Genomic DNA, 25,454 nt, shown 5'->3' on the forward strand with positions numbered 1-25,454 from the left:
ATTCTTGCTCAGGGGATCTAATTTGAAAAAACACTATAATGTAGGGTTTTTCATATGGGTTGTTCTATTTTAAGGGCACAGCCTATTTCCTAAAGTCTTTGGCATTTTTGATCAGCATATATATTTTTTAAATTTTGTATTTCCATTGATTTTTGGGGAACAGATGGTGTTTGGTTACATGAGTAAGTTCTTTAGTGGTGATTTGTAAGATTTTGGTGCTCCCATCCCCCCAGCAGTATACCCACCCCCACAAACATACACAAACAAACACACACACACACACATACACACACACTTCTCTAGAAAACTTATTGAGCACCTAATTCCAGGGATAGATGGTAGGGTGCTTCCTACACTGAAGATACAATGTGGCAACAAGTACAAGCTTCAGGCTGTTTATCTTTCTGCAGATTCTCGCACTATGCCCCCAGCCCTCCCTAGACTCCCCTTCTGACATATTGTTTGTCTCAACTTCTTCTATTTAGGGTCCTTCTTTAAAATATAATCACAATATTTATTTTTGGAAATCTCTATACACCTTTCTTTACCTTAAACATTTTCATCAGTGTGACAAAGACTGGTTCTTTGAAATGGTCTCAGGCCAAAACAAAACAAAACCACCCATGACCACCATTGCATCCCACACTGATGGCAGGATGTGGATGGCTGACGAGAAATCCACCATTGTGCCCTTCTTTTTAGTCAGACCATATTATAAATTTGAAGACAATCTGGCCTCTAAATTCGTCACTCCAGTCAATGCCAGGGCCAATTCAGCTGACCTGCCTGAATCCTACCACTCTCTGGACACTACAAGCTACAATAAAGAAGACAACCTTCTCACAGAGGAAAAACACTGTTCTTTAATAAGAAGATGCAAGTACTGGAACTCCCATGCTATAAACCTTGATTAATTTGTAAATGTAAGTATTAGCAACCTCATTTACCTGCCTGACATCTGACCTTATGTGGATATTAAGGCTTAACATTTGCAATTCAGGAACTCTTTTCTCCACCATATAATTTAAACAAAGTGCCTCGTGTACATGCAGGTAACCTATCAAGCCAGTTTACTTACGGGGACATGGGTTGAGGAAGAAATAGAAGGCTTACATTTTGAGATTTTATCAGAGATTTTATAGAGAGATTTTCCATCTTTGGATAATAGGCATTCTTCTATGTCTAAAATGCACTCAGTTTCCCTCAGTCTGATACACAAAACTAAATAGCATGTAGTGATGGTACTAGAGCAACAGATGAAATAAGGTTTGAACTAAGACTCAAGCTGCTTCTGAGTTGAGTTTCCTAACAGTGAAATAATCTACACCCTCCCATATACATGGCTTATAAATAATCAGTCAAGTCTCAACCTGCTATTAGGCTACCCTAAGAGCAGACAATGTATTTGTTTACCAGTACAATATCAATACATAAAATACCAAGTGTGACAGGTTTTATTCATCTCTTCACTGGGAAATTCATTCACTTATTCCACAAATATTAATTAAGTATCAACGATGTGAATGCATTGTTCTAGGCACTGGGGACACATCAGTAAAAAAAACAACACTAAACAAAAACCCTGGCCTGCCATCATAGCACTTACTTTCCAGTGAGATTCTAGAATACAAGTTCCTACAATGTTAGAAAAAACCTTCCAACTTTTTTTGAGGCTTCAAATTTCTAAGTAGGAGAAGGAATGTTAATAGTAAAGGATCTGAGTTGAGCTAGAGAGAGGTGCAAGTGTCTACCCACATGCCCTCTATTGTAAGAGGAGAGAAAGCCAGTTTACTGGCTTCCTCCTGGCTGGGAGAAGAGAAAAGAGAACTTGGTAGTGGCAAGCAGCTTGGAGAGTCAGTCATTTAACAAACATTTGTGGAGCAACAACTTTAAGATTCTCCAATACACTAATTGGATAATTCCCATCTATGACAATCTATTAGCCTCATCTAATTTTGTTGTTGTTTGAGACAGAGGCTCACTCTGTCACCCAGGCGGAAGTGCAGAGGTGCAATCTCGGCTCACTGCAACCTTCACCTCCTGTGTTCAAGCAATTCTCAGGTCTCAGCCTCCCAAGTAGCTGGGACTGCAGGTGTGCCCAGCTAAGTTTTGTATTTTTAGTAGAGATGGGGTTTCACCATGTTGGCTAGGCTGGTCTTGAACTCCTGGCCTCAAGTGATCCGTCCATCTTGGTTTCCCAAAGTGCTGGGATTACAAGTGTGAGTCACTGTGCCTGGCTGCCCTGATCTAATATTATCTCTGGTTTGTTAAAGTTTCTTCATATCTGAGCATGTTCCTAGAGAAAACAGTTGGGGAATGGTACTGTTAGAAATAGTTGCAATTATTACTTACATCACAGGTGGATGCATTTCCCACAAATGGGAAATTTACTTATTAACATGATCAATGATCATTACAGAGTTAGGTCTGATAGAGTGATATCTATAATACCAAGACCCTTAATGTCAAGGTAACATAAGCTATGGCCTGAGAGGCTAAGGCTGTTCTGCTCTTACCATGACTGAGATGTGGAGGATCCTCAGCTCCTCTTCTGCCGACTCATGTTGGGGTTCTTCAGTGGGGTCTTGTCCAGGAAGGCTTGGGGCACCATCTTGGTGATGAATGTGAAAAAGCAAAGTGCCATTCTCCAGCCACTGCTGCCTCCAGCGCACCAAAGGGATATCCTCTGTGTTCCCTGAGATCTCTAGAAGATGAACACCAAAGGCACAGGTGAGAATTAGGATGGGACCAAGTTTTTCATCTTCTTCCTCGCCACTTGTACCAATTAGCCAGTTTCGTCTGAAGCCAACAGAAGTTTCCAACAATGTATAGTTAGGTCAGATTTTACTGCTACTCCAAACCACAAGGAAGAGGAGAGACCCTGAGAAGAAGACAATTATCTCCCGTAGGTCTTTCCACCATAAATCTAGTGAACCAGGCTCTCACCCATCGAAAAAAATATCAAGGTGAAAATTCAAGTTCTTCCCCTTATTTCTATGATCTTTTACACAGCTCAGTTTGAATACCTGATACCTCCCGAGGTAAATACAAGGTTGTTTGCCTCTTGTAAATTTGAAAGTATGAGTTCCCCAGCAATTATTCCTAGACATACCAGTAAATTTACCAAGGAGAGAGTTGGTAATTACTGTGAAGACAACTGGCATTTATGGAATAGTCCTGGGAGGTTACTGCAGAGCAACTGGGGCTGGTAGGTTATTTCTAAAACCACAATCACTTGCTGCATAGTCCACTGGAGATGTTTGCTAACTTGCTATGACAGGTAAAGTAATGTTATAATTCCTTTTAATTTTGTTTCTTCAGTTTTGCAGAGCAGAGTTGGTATACATGAAGAAGACAGTGAAGAATCAGGCCCTTATCACAGACACACTCACTTGATTCTCAGGGATGGAGACTGAGGCACGAGACTAGCATCAATGACTTAATAGCAAAATACGAAAACTGACTATGCCCCTAGCACTGTAGTTGGTGCTAAGGTAGTACTGCAAAATATGCCGTGTGTATGTTCCTCTCTTTTGCATTCTCAAGCAATATTATATCAAAGCTCTGAGACATAACACAGTAGAAAAACCTGATTAACTGAGTCTCTCCCAAATTTCTAGGGAACTAGTATTCTGCTGAACATGTGTTTAGTAAACCATTGCTTTACAAAATTTTTCTTTTTTTTTTTCTTTTTTTTAAGCAAGGGTCTTGCTCTGTCATCTAGGCTAGAGAGCACTGGTGCAATCATGGCTTATTGTGGCCTCAACCTCCTGGGCTCAAGCAATCCTCCCACCCCAGCCTCCCAAGTAGCAGGGACCACAGACACACCACACCATGCTCAGCTAATTTGTTTTTTTATTTTTTGTAGAGACAGGATCTCCATATGTTGCCCAGGCTGGTCTTGAACTCCTGGTCTTAAGCAATCCTCCCACCCTGGCCTCCCAAAATGTTGGGATTAGAGACTTGAGCCATATGGCCTGGCCTTTTTTTTTTTTTTTTTTAAGGCAAGGCTTCTTCTCCAAAAATTTATTAACTTTGGCCAAAAAATAATAATAATTTCACAGACATAAAAGAGATTTAATAAGACACACTTAGAATGTATTCTCTCATCAAGTACCACAACCATAAAAAGGAAAACAATTTTAAGTATTTATGGAGCTTACAAATATATTTCACTATTTGTGGGAGGGCACAACTGATGTTATTTATTTATCGATTGGTTTGTTTATTCAACAGGCATGAATTGGCCATGTATTATGCACAGGCACTGTCCCAGGCACTCAGATACTAATCTAAACGAGATCCTCAACAAATTCTACAAAGCAACCCACCATGAGTGAATGTGACAAGTGTGACACCAGTGGCAAAGCTTTGTGGGAACACAGAAGAAGAAAAGAGTAATCTTGTCTGGGTAGAGGGTAGAAGAGGGGAGGAAAGTAGCCTCTGAGGATGATGATACTGGTAATGGGTTTGATGGGCAAGTGGACTTCCTTTCAATAGGTAGAGAAGTAGGGGAAGTATGTTCAGGCTTTGATAGGGGAATAAGGATGAGGAAAAGGAAGAATATCAGCTGGTCCGCTAAGGGTAGGGCAATTAGAAGGTTTTATATGAGCCACAGGTCATTAGCCTGTCTCAAAAGACACTGATATGATTCTCTGTCTTGTCCTACCATCCCACAGATGAGGGATAAGGTACAATTAAGAGTGTGGGTCAGGGCTAAAAGAGAAAGGGATCAGAGCCCTCTTCCATCCTTGGCCCCTCCCTAACCACCTAGAGGACTCAGTCATCCCATTGGGTTGCTAAGCTGTCCATGAACTCAGACAAAGCATCCAGGAAGCTGTAGTGGGCAGAGGGTGTGAGGACGGACAATCCCCTGAACCCCAGTCCTGGCTTTCTATAAGCATGGCCTCATTTATTAAGCGAGGCTGTGACACAGACTTCTCCAGGAAAAGAGTCCCTCTTTCTACTAAGGAGGCTTCCAGATTTCCATGTGGGGAGAAACCTGTGGGCATGTCTGTGGGGGTGCATGGTTGGAGCAGCAGTTACCCGCAGCTCTTCAGAGGAGGCCTGACAATCACAAACTCCATTCCCCACTTGGGCGCTTATCCTTCCAACCACTACTCATGCCTTCAAATCAAAGCCCCAAAAGCTCCTCCCAAGAAACACACTCTCCTCCTGTGAGTGCCTGTCCTGTTATTGCAGCGGAAACCAAACTCTGTCTCCTAACCCTGGACATAAAAATCACAAGCTGTCATAGCTCGTAACAGAGCACCTGATGACGGAATTAAATCACCCACAGCAGGGCACCTCCAGCCTCCTGCCTGCACCCATTCCACCCGAGGGCAGGATTTATCTCATACACATCTGAGTGCCACTCAGCCCTTCCTGTAACTATTCCGAAGGATCTAGCACCTCATGCCTCTAAAGCACTTGGCAAACCAGATTTTTATTTCCCAGGAGATCCTCCTCAAGTAGGTCAGGCTTATTACCTCTGTTTCCATTGTGGAAGCAAGGCAAGGTTCTTAGACCAAGGTCACCCCAGTCTGACACAGAACAAAGGCTGATGTGGATGAACAATTTGTCCCCTCCACCCCACAACACACGCACCAGACAACATCATCTCAGAGCATGCACAGACAGACAGCACACTTGAGTAGCTAAATCCATGTAGTCATTTAGGAGCTTTTATGCTGCAGTCTTTTAAGTTTTTATACTAGGTCTTCGTATCCCATGATTTCTTTGAAAATTGAGATATAATTCACATACCATAAAATTCACCCTTTTCAAGTATATAATTTGGTGGTTTTTAATATATTCACAAAGTTGTGCAGCCACAGTCTAATCCCAGAACACTCCATCAGCTCAAGAAGTTCCATACCTATTAGCAGTCCAAGGCTTTTCATGAGGAAGAAGGTCTTCTGCTCCAGGGTCCTAGGCATGGTAGCACCAATGGAAGAACAGGTACAGTGAAGGTTTGACAAAGTACTCCCATGGGGAGGTGGGCTGAGAGCACAGCCTCTGGCCTCGGCTTCCAGGCCAACCCTCAGAACCTCTCTGTGGGTTATCCATGCCCATCTCTACAGACAGTGAGTTCATGATTCTGCCTGGACTAGACTCACCATAGAGGGCAAAGGATGGAAGGAAGAGGGCACCATGCCTACCAAGGGTGCCCATCATTTTTCAGTTTCAAGATAATTACCTAATGATAGCTTCTTCCTTGGCTTTTTTCTTTTTCCTGGCAGATCTGGCACAGAAGTGCTACAATGCTAAACCAGGAATTTATTTATGTATGCTACATCTGGCCTGGGCCAACCAATGAAAAACCACACAGGGCACAGTAAGTGTCTTGTGAGTTTCTTAACTGATAGGACTGAGATCAGAGCTTGGAACATCAATGTAATCATACTGGTCTGGATCCCAGCAGAATATCTCAAGAAGAGGAAATGCTCAGAAATTGCTTTACCAATGCAAGCCTGCCATGAGGCTCGCAAAAGCAAATTTGGGAGGTGATAGTTACGCCTGCCCAAGGCCAGCTGAGGGTGTCGAGGAGGCTCAGATAGAACCTTTTTCACAGTGTACTGAATAAGCAAAGTCTCAACGAGATCCTACTCAGTCATCTCAAGATACCACAGGTGGCAGGAGCACCAATGGCATCATCACGCTGTGGGACTGAGACATCAAGAAAGGGAAGGTATCCTGATTTCTGGTGTGTCCATTCTTCTCCTCCACAAACCTCACATCCCTCAGCACCCCCTAAATGTCTGGAACTTCCCAGAATCTATGGAAACCAGGGTGCTAGTTATTCTTGTATACAATACATATTTTTGGAGCACACTATATTTGCCACATTCAGCAAATTGTGTTACATGGTCCCTATTCTCAAAGAGGTTTCAATCTAATGGGAAACTTAAGACATGATCATGAAGAAGTACTCTAAGCAGTAATAGCAGTGCTGAATGCAGAGCGGAGCTTGGCAGGGCATAAATGGATGGGAAGGAACCAAATGGGAGAAAATGTTGGAGAGGCATTCCAGATGAAGAGAACAATGTGTACAAAGGAACAGAAGGATAACACATGTTTGCAGAACCACAGGAGGTCTTGTTAAGCTGCAGGGGGGATGAGGTGGAGAAGAATAGCCCAGGACAGCAGCAAAAAATGCAGATTGGTGACAACTGTGAACGTGGTGAATGCCCATTTAAGTAGTTCAGAACTAATGGAAAGTCACCTATGGTTTTATAAAGCAGAGGAATGAACTAGGCCACAATTTAGAATGATTACAAAGACCCCGAAAGAAAATGGCAGGAAACCAGACTCAATAAGATCTTACTATAACTCTAATCCTACAGTCTATGATGACTAAAACAGTGAGTTGAGGTGGAGGAGGCCTAGGTATGGTACGAGTAACCTTGAATGAGTTGCCTTGATTTGAGTTTTCTCGTCTGAACAAGGAGGATCTGTGTCGATGAACTTGAAAATTTTGTTGTAACTTTGACATTCTATGATTCTAAGTCCACAAGGGTGTGACTCATATAACCACCTATAAAGAAAAGTTTAATATCTCAAACCATGTCAAACCTTCTCCAAGTCTAACCCAAACTCCACTTCTCCTTTCCCTCTGCACATAGGGTGGACAGGCTTGGGAGGATTTGATCAGAGCCTTCCAGAGCCAGGCCATGTTCCCACTGGACCTCAGGCTGGTGAGAAGGGCTCTCATTCATGCTGGTACAGATGCATGGTTTCTAAGAAAGATAATTTAGAGCTTCTGCATGCAATACAGAATTGGAATAATGAGATCTTGGGCAGGGAAAGTCACAGCAGAGAATAATCAGGGATAGGGAAAGGCAGTGGGAAGAAGAGTGAGATGAAATCACTTTTAGATTAGCCTTAGTCATTGTTCTAATGTTAGCTTGTGGATTGTGAGCTTGTAGCACTTTTTGTGGGGTTAGATTAGGACACTGGAAACTTTGCTTCAAAAATTCCTCTTCCAGGGATTACAACTTCCCTATACCATCCAAGTGCCCTGTTCCCTCTTTGGGCATTCCTTCATGCTGGCAGTCCCTGAACTGAGCTGCTAAGAAAACACATCATGTCAGGATCAGGATTTCTCCCAAAATACAACCTCATTGAGGACCAGCTCCATGATGCCCTCTTTCAAAGAATTTGACAGTTTGAATTCAAATATGCATTTTAACCTGGAAAATTGTCAAAGAACTTTAATTCACTGGATGGCTTAGAGTGGCTTAGAGCAGTCTTGGTATTCTGGGACCCTTTCTCACTCCTAGCAAGGCTGAGTGCAAGCTGAATCCAGCTGAGTACTAATGAGGCTGCTGTGATTGCTGAAGTCAAGGCAGGAGGAAGCATTAAGTAGTCAATTTTTAGCCTCATGTTGAGGGCACCTGATGAACTAACCCTGCAGTCTTTCAAGGTTGAGGTTGACACTCCCTGATGGCTATGACTGACTGTTAAAAGACTTTGCTTAAATTAGGAGTTTCAAAGTTGCTGTTAGTCTAAGAACGCTTATCCAAACCAAATCTAGTATGGTTTCTGAGGGGGGGTTCACAGAGCAGAGTTAGGAAAGAACTGGATCAGTTGGAGGACAAATAAGATGCACTCCTATGAGGGGATAGGATAGGAGGACAAATAAGATGCACTCCTATGAGAGCCTTATAACCTCTATGAAAGAAATACAATGGAAAGGAAAAGAGGCATCTCTAAAAATAGAATCTAGCTACACCTCCACCCTCTGCTATCTCAGCAGCCATTATGAGCTTCCCTATGTGATAAAGATTGAGCTCCGGACTTTAGTAGTGATAAACCTACTGTCAAACACTAAGAATAACAAATGGGTCTTGTCTATCAGATACTTACTATCATTAAGGTAACCAAAGATAGGCCTATGATAGAAATACCCCCCTCTTCTGTTCTTTTTTTCCTTCTAATTTCAGAGTTTGAAAGATATTGATGGTAGGTCTAGTTTCCCACATGGTTTCAGAATGGTCTTCTCACTGAAACTATTAACAGCGGTATTAACTTTCAACACCTTTGTAAGAAAATAACCTGCTTAAGTCAGGGGTTAATAACAGTAGGGGATCACTAATTATCCTGCAAATCTTCACCTTAGTATCAAGCGTGACCCAAGTCTTAATGTCTGTGGAAAGGGATCCTCTAAAGACCCCAACTTGTTTCATAAACATAATGACAGGAGCACATTAATGTCCTGGCCATCTGTGAAGGAAGATGAGGGACAGATGAAAAACAGACAAAGGAGAAAGATGCAGAGAGGAGGAACAAAGTCAGGAAAAGTGAGGAAATGAGACTAACCCGGGAAACAATGGCCCTTGGACTGAGCTGGCTGAGCCTCCATGCCTCTCGCCATAGGGACCATCTGGTACGGAGTTCTTAAGTGCTAAAATCCCGCATCCCAGATGAGAGCCACAGAAAACAGGACACCCTGCTCGGCCTGAAGTCAGCCAGCACAGATGTCAGAAACATTGATGGTTTGCCTGAAGTTTGTGCCTATATTGGCCTGGCTAAGTGAACAGCAATATGGAAAACAGCATAGCCAGGAAACTCTTTTGCGAAGATGTTCAGAGAACAATTGGGAAAGGAGTTCTCATTGTGATTCCTGTAGTTAACTCATTGCCGTAGAGCTGCTTCCTCTCATCTCATTCTCATTCCTCTTTCTCCAAACAGGCTTGAGCAATGGCCACAGAACTATGTGGAACAAAAGCTTTAGAGCAAAATAGCTTAAAATTTCAAAAAGCTCTCATCCAACAGAAGCACAGGAGGTTCATTTTTCAAGGAACCAAAATCTTCTTGACTTGCTGGGATTTGGAATAGAAATATCCACTTGTGACTAGGAGAAGGATAATTGAATTTCTATTTCCCTGCTTGGTGACATTACCCTTAAAGGCAAAAACAACAGAGCCTCATAGCATGAGTGATTCAGTGATGAGAAACAATGGCAGGTTAGAGAAAGCACTGGACAGGAAGCCTGGAGAATGGGAGTGTTGTAAGCTCCCTGGAGCTCACTTTCTCATCTTCAAACCATGGGACTAGATTTCTCTAGGAATTGTCCAGCTCTAACCATGTTATTCAATGACACAAAACCAAACATGACACTTGGCTCTAGTTAGGCCCCAAGTCAGATGCACGCTGTTTTTTCTGTATGGCACCTGGATAAATGTCTTTGCAGAAATTTTTAGAATCAGACGTTTTCTCTTGGAGTTTGGATTTTTCTTTTTTTCCTTCTTTCTTTTCTTTTTTTTTTTTTTTTGAGATAGGATCTCACTCCAGTGCCCCGCTGGAGTGCAGTGGCATGATCTCAGCTCACTTCAGCCTCTACCTATGGGGCTCAGATGATTTTCCTACCTCAGCTTCCCAAGCAGCTGGGACTACAGGTAGGTACATGCCACCATGCCCTGCTAATATTTGTATTATTATGAGACGAGGTTTCACCATGTTGCCCAGGCTGGTCACAATATCCCGGCTCAAGCAATCTGCCCACCTCAGCCTCTCAAAGTGCTAGAATGTTTCAGCTCAATCCAGCCTATCAATTTATAAGGTAAGGAGTGGCTGTATTGAAACTCATGAGAGTGACCTATTGAAACTCCAATCAACAGTCCCCAGTAAGAAAAAGATCACCCACATATAGATGCTTCCAAATAATTTTCAATGAATTATTAACCTTTGATCAGTTTTGTTTCTGTGGATAAGAGTAGCCTGATCTCTCTCTCAGTGGCTCCCCGCTTTGTAGAACTAGACTCTAAAAATCTGCAATGTTAACTTCTTTTGAAGCTGCCCATCCACCCGCTTCTCCTTTGCCGAAAGGCTAGGATGGACTAAAACGAACCAACTGAAGAAGCAGGAGTGATGAGAGAAAGGAAATAAGCACCCTGGAGAGTCCATAGTTTGTTGTCTCTGGGGGCAGTTGGGGGTGGGAGCTGTGGGAAGCAGAGGGTGGCTTTTTAAATCAGTCTTGATGGAAAGCAGTGAAGCTTTCTATGGATGCTGCTGGAAGTAGGTCACTCTACGCTACTCTGTACTGGCATGAATAGCAATCGAGCAACTACATGAACATTCTATTTACCTAGCCATGGAGATGAAAACATTCCTGTGGGGGAAAAATGCAGCCAAAAGGTTCTGACACAACCAGACAGATGAGGAGGCATTCGAATGACTTGTGATTTCATCCAAACTGATTTGCTTGTTCCTACCACAGTGTTTCTCTGGATCTTTTCAAACCTCTGCAAAGAGTTTATCCACATGATACTCATTAAAGTCTCATTTGAAAGGATAAAGAAAAAAAAAAAAGCCCAAAGCTTTTTGAAAAAGGCAGGGTTATCTGAGCTGCAAATACACTGGTAAAAGGATTTTTTACTTATATCTATTTCTATTCTCCACTGCCACCCGACTGACTTTTGTAAATTGAGATAACAGCAGGCATTTAATGGAATCTGACATCAAGTAAGGTATGTAATAATATTTAAACTCCATAATGTTAAAATATGTATTTACAGATCATTTCATACATTGTAATGAGAATAAGTCATTTTGAAGCCTGAAGTTTCACGACTGGAATTCTGATTTGAGCTTTGCAAGTCCTTGAGGGCCACTCTCCTGCAGTGATGTGTTGGGAGCAACATGGATGCCGGAATTTTGGAAAAAGTCAAAACACTGGTCACAGGGTGATTGTAAGAAAACTGTATACTAGACCCAGTGAGAGATCTGTTCATTCCAAATCCTCTGTCTTATACTCCTGGTCTTTCATTAACAAAGAGATTAGTATTTGCTATAATTTTCTGATCCTAAACGATTTCAGTAAGGTCCTCTCTATGGCTCTTGCCTTATAAAATGAATGGAAAAAAGAATTGAAAATGACTAAATATCACCTGTAAATGAGTTACAAAAGAATAGCCTGTTGCCTGTCCTAAACTGTTTTCATTCATCTCCATTTCTAATTAGTTCTCATCCACTTGTATTTCTGTTCTTATCATCTAAGATTCAACTCAACAAGTAATAATGTATGCACTGGCTCTGCTAAGAAGCCCTTTCAGTATTCATGAACTAACTTAATACACAATGACCCTTTCGTGTGAGTATGTATATCTGTATTTTAGAGATGAGGAACTTGAGTTCCAGAATAGTCAACCTACTTGACCAAGTTCACCCCGTGAGTAAATATTAGAATGGTAGGGGTGGGAGTGGCAATTGAGTGGGGAATCTTAGGTCTCCTGGTTTTAAGGCCACTGTTGTTTTTCACTATCTCAACGTTCATTCCCTCACTTTGCAAATCTCAGTCTTGGGATAATACAAACAAAGTGCTTAGCAGTACCTGGAGTTTAACACTAATATCATCATCAATATCATTAATACTGTTTGTTGTCATTATTACTATCACTCACATAAATCCTAAAATTGAGCAACAATCTTTGACAGAATTAAGCAAATTATACCTTTAAATAGCTTCAGCTGCTTAAACGTCTTCATAAGTCCAGGAACTATAAGTCCAGGAATCAGCTCAGTTCCAGTTGAGAAGCCCAGGGCAAGTCGTATTTGTACATTTCTGTAAGTACTCATTAGCAAATTGAACAATCTTTAGATGTCTCTGATAAAACTCCACGTACACTATTTATGCTTTAAGACTTGGCTATGGGGGCTTTCACAGAGGGATGCCATGCTATCTAGGCCCATTCTAGGCTGGCATGCAAGGCCAGCCCCAGGGAGCTTGTTGTCAGGCACTTAGCAAGGCACTCATGAATTCAAATGGGCAGTTCCTTCCAGGACATCAGGGTGGTGATTGTGGTCAGGGAAGAGGGAAGGAGCAAATGGATGCAATATTAAAATAACAGTTATGCTTTTATCAGTAGTAAACTGAGTCCTTCTCTGTAGACTAGTCTGTGTGAGCACCTGTCATCATAAATGCCAAGAAGTACTGCACTCAAGTACAACCTTCCATTCTCATCCTCATTCTAGGGAACAGGCTTTCCACCCCATTCCTACAGAGGCCTAAGCTTACCTTGCTGACCCTGAGCACTGCCTTCTTGCACATACAAACAGCCAGGGAGCCCAAGCTGGAGGGCCAGTCATTTCTCTTGGCTCTTCTTTATAAGCCATTTTCTCCTACAGAAAAGTGGGCATAAGTGACCTGTAAAGCTTCTTCTCACTCTAAACCTTTCTGGTATTTTTTGTCTCTCTGTGATTTGCAATTGCCATAATGGGGGCTGGACCTCAAGTTCCTTCAGAGTAAGGCTGAGACATGATAGTAATCTTAGGTATCTCTGTGGCATCATTCAGCCTGAGAAAGTGGAGTGTAGAGGGAATTCCACAAAGACTCAAGCACGTGAAGAATACCTTATTATCATCCCTGTGTTACAACTTGCAAAGGCCTTTCTTCTAAGGTCCTCTCTTCATTCATCATTTCTGTGTGGTAGGCTTTACAGAATTAGAAACCAGAAGGCCAATGAGGGTAAGTGACAATTTCAAGGGTTAGAGCTAATAAGATGGAGATAACAGCCTTCTGACTCCTGGCACAGTGCTCTTGCTACAGACTGTGCTGTCTACCAAACCGATGTTTATTTACACTGAGAAATCATGAGCCACTATGCTTGTATTTCAGCTTAATGAATTAGGTATACAGAAGATATACATCAATAGTAAACACTGTCAGGAGTTTGAAGAGTTTGGGCTTATAGATCCAAGACTGAAATTGAGTTATTAACCTATTCACACTAGTGTACAAATCATATGGCAATCTGATGTGATTTCATTGTGACAGACTCTCCTGAAGAATCACATCTGCATAGTATTTGGTTTGTTACTGGTCTAAAGACTCTCCACACTGCCTTGGGCCCATTTCTGTAGGCTAATTTGTGTAAGGTACTCATCACTGAAGGGGTTAAGATGACCTCTAAATGACCTGACAGGCATAGCTCCATGGAAACGTTGATTTAGCCATCTAATCCCTGCTGGGAGAATGATTTAAAAGAAATACAAGGTCACTTGATTGCTAAGGTATCTTGTTGCTCAGCTGAGAATAACATACATTGACAGAACAGTTTCTTTATTATTGCCCCTTCTGTATTTTCTATCTTAATTCTAAAGCCCTCCCTCCTCTACAAGCCCTCCAAACAAAATACACTTTAAGGGGCTGGTAATAAGAAACAGGAGCCATGCATTCTACATGAATAACGTCTTTCAGAAAATAGATGAAGTCTATGCACCATGTGGCACCCATCAGTGGTGCCACTCCTCACACCTACGTGTGCTGGTCACTGTAGTGCTGCTTGTGTTTGAATGTCTGTGTTCATATTCTCATACTTCACGGTAGCACTGGCCCATTAGTTTGAGATTTTAACTAAAACAATGTTAGTTGCGTTTTGCAAAATGAAAAAAAAAAGTGCTGGGTTTTCTTCCTCTGATGTGTAAGAGCACGTCCCAAAGGAATATGGCTGTAGTTTCACATATAAGCTAGATTGTAAACAAAAGTGACAGTAACTGGAATGAATGGATGATTCACCTTAAATCAGGACACAAAGACAGAAATTAGGGAGAGGTATACAGCATTGGTAGCTTCTCCATCTACTCCTCATTCTGGAGCCAAAAAGGCACAGAGCTGGAAGGTAATTCTGTGCCAGGGGACATTCATCCTCCCAGACATCAACCTTAAAGCTGAGGTCAGTCTTAGCTACTTGGCAACTGACTCTGTCTCTTTCATTCATAAACTGTTTAGTATTTTTTTGTTTTGTTTACTATATCTGTATTTTGCGATTGTACTATACTTTGGGAAGCAAGTTTCATATAAATCATACCTTCAGGGTTAAGCAGTACTTCCTTTCATTTGCCCTAAACTCATCTTCCTTGGGTTTGAAAAACTTTGAGTCCTAGCAGTTGAATATTTGGTGAACAAGGTCACATATACTTTAATGTGATAAGCCTGGATCACATTCCTCTCTTAGTCTGCCTTGTATCAGGAGACTCATTCATATTTCTTTCATCCTTATTTGGCTATTGCATCTAGTATGTGCCAGGCTTTTTATTCTACCTTCATAGAACCACACCTACTTCCTACTGATTATTACACTTACTTTTCTGTGCATGTTCGCTGGGTTCATTAAATACATTCCCTAGAGCAGAGTAATGTGGCACTGCAGAAACAGGGAGGGTTCTAATATCAGGAAACCGAAATCTGAGGCAAGGCTCTTGCACATACTACCTCTGAAAACTTTATGCCTCAGTTTCCCTATCTTTCAAAAAATGGAGATAACACAAACATCTATCAAAGGGCTGTTAAAGTGAAAGTGCACATGGAAATGCTTAGAAATATGAGTTACCATTATTAGTAATATTAATATTATCATTAAAGATTAGTGACAAGAATAACCTTTTTTAATTCCTGGTTAAAAAAAAAAGTCAATACAGCTCTACATAAGGGTAGAATACTATTGTGTTCCTCACATCCTTCATAAAGCCACTTGTTCCCCTTTTTTAGCCATGACTTCATGTAGGGTCAGTGTTTTCAGAGAATGATTTTAATGAACTCTAAGTTATTTCCTGAATCATTAATGATATGACAAAGATCCTTTTATTTCATAACTATAGCTGGAGTCTTTACCTGTGAGGGCATTACCTTGAAGTTGGTCACAGGAAAATCATCTCTCCTTTCTGCCCTCTAACACTGATCTTCTTACAGTCTGTCTCCATTGACTTGACTTTTTAGTATAAGGTTCAGTATCATCTATATCATTTATAAAGATTGTTAATCATATTGCTTTCATAATAACTGAGTCTCCATGCCCAACAAATATAGTAACTTACCATTTTTTCAAAAAATAGATCTTAAAGGGAGGATCTATCAAAAGCTTTTTAAAAATCTAAGTCGATCTCCTTGATCACTATGTATGGCACACCCCTACAGGACACTCATTCAGGCTTGGTTTCTCTGTACAGATTCCCACTGTTACCATGTCCCCCTTCACAACTGTAATCCCTTACACTCATGCTAGGTTCCATTTACAAATCTCATCTGTTGTCATCAACTTTAATGGTCTGACTCATTGAGGGGACAGAGTCCTTGCAGACAAGAATCTTTTGCTGGATAAGGTTGAATTAGATACTTTGATATCACCTTTCCTAACTTCTCTGCAATTCTTCATGATGCACGTATGTGTTTTATGCAGCACCAGGAATTTAACTATTTTTATCTGGTTGCCTGATTTGTGGTATTCTCAGTATTCATTATTACTTATTTTAGTACTTCAATTTCAAGAGGTAACATGCTTGTTGAAATATCACAAATTCTTCAATAAAAACTGAAAATAATTATTTCATCATTATTTTTCTCACTTTTTGCCTCTGCAGTAATAAAATAATTTGGTAGTTTCTAACTGGCACCATTTTCTCATATCTTGTGGGATCTCTTATTGGTAACCCGGGTGGTTACAAATTAATTTCTATCTCACACCCATTGCTTTATATACAGTTAATTAATAATCTATTAAATTCTTCCAATTTCTTGCTTTTTTTTATTTTGAGATGGAGTCTTGCTGTGTCACCCAGGCTGGAGTGCAATGGCGTGATCTTGGCTCACTGCAACCTCCGCCTCCCAGGTTCAAGCTATTCTCCTGCCTCACCCTCCTGAGTAGCTGGGATTACAGGCATGTGCCACCACGTCTGGCTAATTTTTGTATTTTTAGTAGAGATGGGGTTTCACCATGTTGGTCAGGCTGGTCTCAAACTCCTGACCTCGTGATCCACCCACCTCGGTCTCCCAAAGTGCTGGGATTACAGGCATGAGCCACTGCGCCCAGCCATTTCTTGCTTTTTTAAAAGAAAAACTTGACTTTTAAAAGGTTTCATTCATCAAAAAAAAAAAAAAAAATACTAAGTAGCTTTGCTTTCTTTGCTGGAGGTTTCCTTAGTCATTTAAAGGAAGAATGATATCCCACTTTGTGTTGTCTTTGGTTTTTTATAACAAGCTGAACCTGAATTTGGAGGGAGAAAGCTTCAGGCACGAAGATTGCTTTTCTTTTTCTGAGCAACATTTTTTCTTTCTTTCTTTCTTTCTTTTCTTTTCTTTTCTTTTCTTTTTTTTTTTTTTTTTTTGAGACAAGGTCTCGCTCTGTTGCCCAGGCTGGAGTGCAGTGGTGCATTCATAGCTCATTGCAGCCTTCAACTTCTGGGCTCAAGCAATCCTTCCATCTCAGCCTCCCGAGTAGCTGGGACTACAGATGTGCACTGGTGAGCCTAGTTTTCATTTCTTTGTAGATACAGGGTCTTGCTATGTTGCCCAGACTGGTCTCAAACTCCTGGCCTCAAGTGATCCTCCTGCCTCATCCTCCCAAAGCACCGTGATTACAGGCATGAGCTCCCATCTGTGAACAAACCTTTTGATCTCATGTGAGAGATCCTCAAACTGCAATAGAAATCCCTCATACTGGTAGAACATGGTGGCTCACACCTGTAATCCCAGCACTTTGGGAGGCTGAGGCGGGTGGATCATGAGGTCGAAAGATCGAGACCATCCTGGCTAACATGGTGAAACCCCATCTCTACTAAAAATACAAAAAATTAGCTGGGCGTGGTTGCACGAGCCTGTAGTCCCAGCTACTCGGGAGGCTGAGGCAGGAGAATCACTTGAACCTGGGAGGTGGAGGTTGCAGTGAGCCGAGATTGTGCCACTGCACTCCAGCCTGGATGACAGAGCGAGACTATGTCTCAAAAAAAAAAAAAAAAAGAAAGAAAGAAAAAGAAAAAGAAAAGAAAGAAAGAAAAAGAAATCCCTCACACCATGCACCGTCCTCACAGAAGCAAGCCAGAAAACCTACCCTGCCTTGTCTGTGATGGGAAACAAATGAAGGGGGAAGTGCATCCTTGGTCATAATGAAGGGCCAGTCATTTGAGGAAGGATGGGAAAAGAAAAGACGTTTCTCTGCTAGAGTTGCTTTTCTTTATCTTTTCTTTTCTTTTTTTTTTTTTATGAGATGGAGTCTCACTTCATCACCCAGGCTGGAGTGCAGTGGCAAGATCTTGGCTCACTGCAACCTATGCCTCCCAGGTTCCAGTGATTCTCATGCTTCAGTCTCCCTAGTAGCTGGGACTACAGGCCTGAGCCACGATGCCTAGCTAATTTTTGTATTTTTAGTAGAGACGAGTGTTTCACCATGTTGACCAGGCTGGTCTTGAACTTCTGACCTCAAGTGATCTGCCTGTCTCGGCCTCCCAAAGTGCTGGGATTACAGGCGTGAGCCACCACACCTGGCCTTAGAGTTTCTGAGACTGCGTTATAGATGATAAAGCTAAGATGAAGGGACTTTGAGAAGTAGCTCACTCTGCCTCTTTAATTATCCTGTCTAGAAAGAAAGTCTGTCATCAGGGCCGGAGACTGGCTCTGCTGCAGATTGATTGGAGTTAGAGACTTTTTCGCCCAATCTCAATTGCTTCAGTTTTCCTGGAATTGAGGCAGGCCATAAACCTATCAGTGACTCAAGAAAATGGAAGCAATTAAGTCTGCAGGTGTGCGTATTTGTCATATTAATGATGGATCTGTGTTAATATAAGTCACAGAAGCCTTCTGCATGCCGCGTTCACTTCTGCTGGGGGTGAAACCACCTCGAGGAGGTGCTGCAACTCCATCATGCAGATATCAGGGACTTTCCCCCTCAATCTCAGCGTGACTCCCCTCCTTCCCAGTACTGGCTTGGGATGCTCTCCCACTGCTGCTCCAATTGCAGTCACATTTTTCAGGGATGCCTAATTTGACTCTGGTGACGAGCACGCTAGTTAGTTAAAGATACCTAGTCAGGTATAGAAGGAGTATAATTTGCCGGTATAATTTTGGAGTCAGACAAACCTGGCTTGACTATCAGCCTTTCTACTTCATACTAGCTTGTCTTGAACGGGTTATTTAAGCCCAATAAGGATTATAACATTTACTTTATAAAGTTGTTGTGAGGAAGAAATAAAGTAATAAATGTAAAGCTCTAAATTCAGTGTCTCCTGGTTATGGTCACTTTAACGATTTCTCCTTTTCTGACCTTGAAAACATTTTAGCTCTTAAAAAATTAATTTCCAGTCATTCCTCATAAGCTGCCAGACAACTTCAGGGTGAGGAACAGTATTAGCAAGGTTCATGAGAAGACAGTAGGCCAGTGCCTCGGATGTGTCAATCTTGGTGACTGTCAACTGCCCTCTCTGGGGTAAGCTGCCTCCTCCTTTAAAAGCCAGCCAGCCTTTCCTGAGGCCCTTCATTTCACATGCCCCCCTAGAGGTGGGCACCTCACCCAAGGGCAGCCGTCTGTGGGATGGGCAGTGATCCACAACATGGTTTGACACAAAAAGGTGAGTCATCAGATTCTCACTCGTAGGAATGTGAAATTGGGAATATGGAACAAATCAGGCATAAATAAGTGGAAGCAGAGCTCAGAGAGATGCACAGGGAAAGCACAGATGGGGAGTCTGGGCCATAAGAGCCACTTCAAGCTGGAGAGACAAGGAAATAGGAAAAAGGTGAGTAAGCAAAAGCTCTGCTGTAGAGAAAAAACATGTGGCATAGAAAGAGAAACACCAGGTACGATGGTAGGGAAAGGAGAGGAAGATGTATGATAGGAGATGGGCACATTACTGCAATGCAGCCCAGGAATCTCCCAAAGCCCTACCCCAGAGCCCCAGCTGTCCTGGATCCAGGTCCACCTGCCTTGAGGGTTGGCTGACACACAGCTCCTGTGCCTTCATCCCTGTGGGGTCACTGCCTCTCACTGACCTGTCCTCACAAACATTTCCCACCATTGAGCAACTTGGGCAAGTCACTGTGCCCTGTAAGCAACAGTGCTCACCCACTGAGATGTGAACACCCTTTGGGAGATCTGGAATGCTCAGAGAATTCTGAACTCGGGCACCTCACTAGATGGCCTAGATCATGGAATCCCACAGAGGGCTCTTCTGATCCTCTGTCACATATTATAGGGAAGTCTTTCCCTCAAAAAACAACAAGTAAATATATGCCACCCAACGGAAAGAAGTTATAAAAAATGCTTATTTAGACAATGAGAGAGTAAACTAGTTCCCAGATTTCTTCATTATTGTAAAGTCTAGGTACGGCCCTTTTTTCAGTCTGCAAAATGGGAATCATGATAGCACCAACAACGTCAAACCACAATATGGTGTATCTGTAAGGTCATAAAAACACACCAGCAGATAATGATGCTGGAAAGGACATACATTCTTTTTTATTATCAAAGAAAAGATTTTCTTTTGCCCACTCACATAACTTAACAGTCAGCAATAATGAGGAAGGAAACAAAAAATGCACTGTACATGACAGCCAAAATCAGAATTTGATAAAATATCCTACTTCTAAAGGGATACTGTCATGTAAAAAAAAATCAATTTGAGTAGAAAAAAGTCTGGTTTGTTTATTAGTTTTGCTCCTAATGCCACCAAATGGACCTCAATCTGAAATGGCTTTTGAAATCAAATTTGCTGTTCTCCAATTCTGCAACTTACTCTTTATGCTAATTTGTCTGCACCTGCAGGGACAAAGAAACTGGCAGCATTGAGCATGAGATCCAGGAAGAAAAAGCAACACAAAGATTCAGGAAATGAAACCAGGACTAAATCATATTAGGTGTATAAAGGCTGGACTTTTATAAAACAAGGAAAGAGTGGATCAAATGTCTGAGAGAGTGTTCTGACTGTAGAAAATGCTAGAGCCTTGGTGAGGAAGCTGATGTCTTCCCAGGTCCCAGAAGAAAGAATGGCAGTGTGGGGTTTGTGGAATCAGAAAGGCCAAGTGCTGGGACCAAGCGGGGTCTCTTTCAGCCTGCACATCCCTTAATTATGAGAGTTATTACAAAATGTCTTAAAAGTTTCCTGCTCAAGAACTTAGACCCTATGAGTTGAGGTTAATTCTTCCTTCCAACTTAAAAAATATATTTATTTAAGGCTCTCGTTTGAAAGAAGAAGTACCACAATTTCAAGGAACAGACTGCCATCCTTTTCCCATTGTTCTCTGTTATGTGGGCCCTCAACTCTCTCCTTTCTCCTGCTTCTTTCTGCCATGCCATTGGGTGTGGTCAAAGAGTATCTGGAGCCCAAATCTAGTATCCCAAACAATATAAAACCTGAGAACACAAGTACTACAAAGACACTTGAAAATACTGTCCTCACTTTACAGATGCCCAATTCCTTCACAACATGAACTCCACACCCCCACTGAAAAGATAACAAAAGCTCAGAGAGTTAAGTATTTTGCACAAGGTTATACAGAACGTTCGCTCATAAACAATCCAGAGAAAGAATCCCACACCAGGTCTCGTTCTGTTATTGCCTCTCAAAATTCAGAAAAAAAATTAAAAATGTAATTCTTTGTATTTCTATGTTGATTCCACTTTGAGTATTTTCTCTATCACTCTGTCCAGTATATTTAATTTTAGACTTTTTACATTTCTATATTATAAAGCACTGTTAAAATTCAAGTTCTGTCAACAGCTGGTAGCTGTTGAGATACAATGAATGCTGTGAATGTTATGTGTTTAATGCTTAAGCAACAATGTCAATTTTCACCTTGGATTTATTAAACTAGGGAAAAAAATCAATTGGGAACGTAAGATGTTCAACAGCCACCCACCTACTGTCCTTCCTCTTCCCTTCCTAAGTGTCTCTTCATTCCTCCATTTTTTTTTTTCCTATATCACCAGGCCAAAAAAAAAAAAAAAAAAAAAACCGGTATCACACTCTCAACTAAGACTTTGTTTAAAACAAAATAAAATGAGCATCAGGCTTTTGTCCACTGTTTGATTTTCATTAGAGCAGCTGCCTTATGTCCTTTAGACCAATACTAGTTTCTTGTAGAAGTAAGAGTACTGTTATGGTTAGTATTAAATAATTGCATAAAATGCATTTCTATAGCAAATGACACAAACTTATTTGTGAAGTAACTCTTTTCTGTTAACTGATAAGGAAAGTCTGTGTTTTCCGTATTTGTGAATATGAAGAATTGGAAAATATGAGGTTAATTGACTTTCTCAAAATCACGCCATGAAACAGGATTAGAGTTAGAGTTCATAGCTCCTGCCTCTTCAGTCCAATTTGTTATTGGAGTCACAGAGGAATTTCTTTTAGTGAAACTTCTTGAGATTTTATGTCCCTAATTCTGTTCTGTTTCCCTAGGGAGGAAGTGTAGTGAAGGGGAAAGAGAATGGGCTTTAGAATCAGACAGACGTGGTTAGACTCCCAACTCTGACATTTGCTAGTCAGATGATCCCAGGCAAGTTACATAACCTCGAAGCCTCTGGGTCTTCATTTGTTAGGGTAGATAACAGCACACACTTCAGAGGGGTGCATGAGGCTTAAATGAGACCACGTATGAAGCATGCTGAAGGCACTCAATACATGTGTGCACCCTTCTCTCTGTATTATTTTTCTCGGACAATTAAAATATAATTGACTCACGAGAGAGATAACAAGCTCTAGAAATTGGGGACCCATTTTCTCTTATTTTCAATTTGCTTGTGAGTGCTAACATTTCAACCTGAAAACAAGGTAACTTTTATAGAGAAAATGCATTGGTGGTACCACTCTAAAAGCCAAGGCCTTCTCATTGGTCAACACAGAGTAGAAAAAACATAACCTGGAGGAAGAAAGGTCAAGGAGCTCTTGCTTGACTTGATCACTGGTGGGCTATGTGAACTTTCTTTTATTTGGTTATTCATTCATTCCTTTAAAAAGTATTTTACTTTTTATGAATTGTATTTCATGCCAATTACTAAAGATTACAAATATGAATGAGCTTGTCCATAAGAAATTTATATATCAACATGGGCAGGGGAAAAATCAGTAATGCAATAAAGGGTCAGTTGCCAAGAATACACAGGATGGAGTCAGGGTATAAAACAAGAGGGTGTAAAACACTCTTATAAAACAAGAGTGGCCCATCTTCTTAAGAAGAAAGCATCAGGAGAGCTGAAAAGAAGAGGCAATATATGCATGAAGTTTAAAGATAAGTGAGCTATATCAACTAGCAGGGTGTGGGTGGCAAGGGGAAGACACCCTGGCCACATCTTGGCTAAGTTACAGAGTCATGCAGTGATGGCAGGGTGCCTTCTGAAGACACCAAGATGGCTCTTGGTAGGTTGTACGAAGATGGGGAGCTCACCAGAGGCCAGGTTAGAGAGGATATCATGTTCCCTGTTTAAGAGTTTGAACTTTACTCTACAGATGAAGGGGACTGAAAGACATGGCTGAATTTATGCTTTTAGAAAGATGGCTGAATAATGTAGAGTCAAGCTAAGAGTGGTTTAAGGGTTTGCTCTTGGAAAGAAGAATGGAAAACGCAGAGGAGAAGTGAAAGGGGAGGAATTAGCAGAGTAAGTCACTGCTTGGATGTTGGGGTTAGGGGAAGGGAAGACATGTGGACAACCCCAGAAGGCTAGGTCAAGGTTTATGCTAGAGAGGAAACACAGCCTGGAGGAGCAAGATTGGCTGAGGGAGCAGAGGTCTGGATATGCTGAGTTTGACATCCACATTGGATTGTCAGATAGGAAAATTTAAACGGACCTTTCAGACATTTAAATGGACATGTCAGAAGTGCATAGGAAAATTCTTGTCTAAAGGCATGCACAAGTGATGGTAAGTGGAAGCCATGGTCATGGGGATGGACGAATCTACCTATGAGTGTGCAGTATGTAAAGATGAGGACCCCAGGATGATAGCAGGGACAACACTATCTGTTAAGGGAAAGGCTTCTCTGGACCTGAGTTTCCTCCTCTATTAAATGAGAGGGATGGGCTCCATGCTTTCTTAGGCTCCTTTCACCTCTAAAATGTCTCATTCCATGCTCTTTTATTTGGCTCCAGTTTTCACTCCCATGGCTCTCTTTTCTTTCTTCCACCTTTGTTATTTTTGGAAAAAGCTGTTTGAAGCTTAAGCTCTTCTGAAGTAGCCCCTTGATCTTTCTGTCATAAGGACACTCACACAAAGGGTACAGCATGGAGACTTTGCAGAAGAAGAAAAGGCAAGTGAGAATCAGGGCAGGTCTCAGCGCCAGGATGTGGCCCTTCGCATGCCTTCAAAGAAGCCACAATAGCATGGATTTCCCTCCCACTCCTCAGTTGTTCAGGGGAGATGTTTTTGATACAAACCAGAAGAATAACACTGGCCCCTTGCATTAAATACTCCTGGCTTCCCTGTAATACTCTCCTTCCCTATGCTGGAGGGAGCTCTGCCGCCATAGATTATGCCTAAGGTATTGGTAGCTCATTACTTGCTAGTAGATTTAAAAATTACTAGGATCATAAAATTTTCATGGGCTATATCTCCATTTGTCATTTTACCCACTCATTTCCTTATCAATGCACAATATTTCCTATTTTTCTACATCCTGTCTGCATAAGGCACATGTGGATGTTCTCTGTAGAAAATACACCCAAATTCCTATTAAACCCAAGATAAAAGAGACAAAATTCAATTTATTTTTTGTATACTGTCAGTTTCTCATTAGCCTTGACTTCTTAAGCCCTCGGGTTATGGACCAGTGCTTATTTTCATGGCTGCATTACTAGATTTTATTACATTTGTACCGAGAGGCAAGATAGTCTCATTTTATATCTGGAGAAATAGGTTTAGTGACCTGGTGACAGCAACTGGCCATGGATCAGTATATTTTCCTCATTATGTGAGTCTAGGGCCATATGTTTTTGGTTGTCTGGGCAGAGTATAAAACCCACTGCTCGTCACACACAAATTCAACACTAGTGATCTATCGCCCTCTTTCTGGAACCACCCAACATCAGGAGATGATGGTCCTCAGGATTACAATTCTGGAAGGGAATTTGCTGTTCTGAAAGCAACATTCTTTTCTCTGTGCCAAATCAGGTCATGCGCCATTGAGAAAAAAAAATGCTTCATCTCATCTTTAAAAATAAAAATGTTGATTTTAGGCTTTGGAAGTTAAGAATTCCAAGTATGAAGTCAGAAATTAAAGAAATTGCAGCAACTGGGGCTTTCCCTCTATAAAGCTGTGACTAAGCATTAGGTTTCTAACCCCTGGAATAAAATACTTTTCCTCTTATAAAGGACCTTTACACAACAGGCAAGCAATAGAAAAATCTTTTCATCCTCTTTTGTAAGGATAATGGAATTCAACAAAGTACCCAAAATCCTGAATTGTCAACACACTCTCATAAGTGGACAACTACTCTCAGTGGTAACCACCTGGGGTCAGGAGATCAAAATTATAGATTAAATATAGAACTGCCAGGAAGTCCTAACACCACCTGGCCCAAACTCCTGCAGAAAGCACTTCTGCCTTTCAGAGAGAGTCAGAGGTCTCTAGGGATAGACGTTCTACATCCTCCTCCAAATCCTTTTCTGCAGCATATTTATCCTAACTTACTAAGATATTTTTCTTCTTTTGTCAGAGTAAATTCTCCCTTGCTGTCATTTAAGCCTGTTCCTTC

At 41.4% G+C, this 25,454-nt stretch overlaps 1 protein-coding gene across 7 annotated transcripts in view, besides 2 other annotated features; it reads right to left on the reverse strand.

The window, feature by feature from the left end:
• The window catches only part of ASTN1 (astrotactin 1), a 307,392-nt gene that overhangs the window by 201,241 nt on the left and 80,697 nt on the right, over window positions 1-25,454 (reverse strand). For all 7 annotated transcript variants that reach the window (XR_001737193.3, XR_921796.4, NM_001286164.2 and 4 more), the window contains exon 2: window positions 2,517-2,704. Coding sequence is in view for 5 of the 7 variants with exons in the window: in NM_001286164.2 (NP_001273093.1) it covers window positions 2,517-2,704 (188 nt within the window). In the remaining 2 variants the exon portion in view is untranslated. The remainder of the gene's footprint in view (window positions 1-2,516; window positions 2,705-25,454) is intronic.
• Window positions 2,180-3,379: an enhancer, noted in NCBI's record as "BRD4-independent group 4 enhancer chr1:177029877-177031076 (GRCh37/hg19 assembly coordinates)". NCBI's record gives its function as "activates an origin of replication core promoter dependent on BRD2, P300/CBP, MED14 and CDK7 cofactors, and independent of BRD4, by STARR-seq in HCT116 cells {active_cell/tissue: HCT116}" and the evidence as "EXISTENCE:reporter gene assay evidence [ECO:0000049][PMID:35650434]".
• Window positions 6,792-7,426: an enhancer, noted in NCBI's record as "OCT4-NANOG hESC enhancer chr1:177034489-177035123 (GRCh37/hg19 assembly coordinates)". NCBI's record gives its function as "activates a minimal SCP1, AML or CMV promoter by ChIP-STARR-seq in naive H9 embryonic stem cells {active_cell/tissue: H9 hESC(naive)}" and the evidence as "EXISTENCE:reporter gene assay evidence [ECO:0000049][PMID:30033119]".

The sequence above is a fragment of the Homo sapiens genome, chromosome 1 (genome assembly GCF_000001405.40).
Source record: "Homo sapiens chromosome 1, GRCh38.p14 Primary Assembly".
Lineage (NCBI taxonomy): Eukaryota > Metazoa > Chordata > Mammalia > Primates > Hominidae > Homo > Homo sapiens.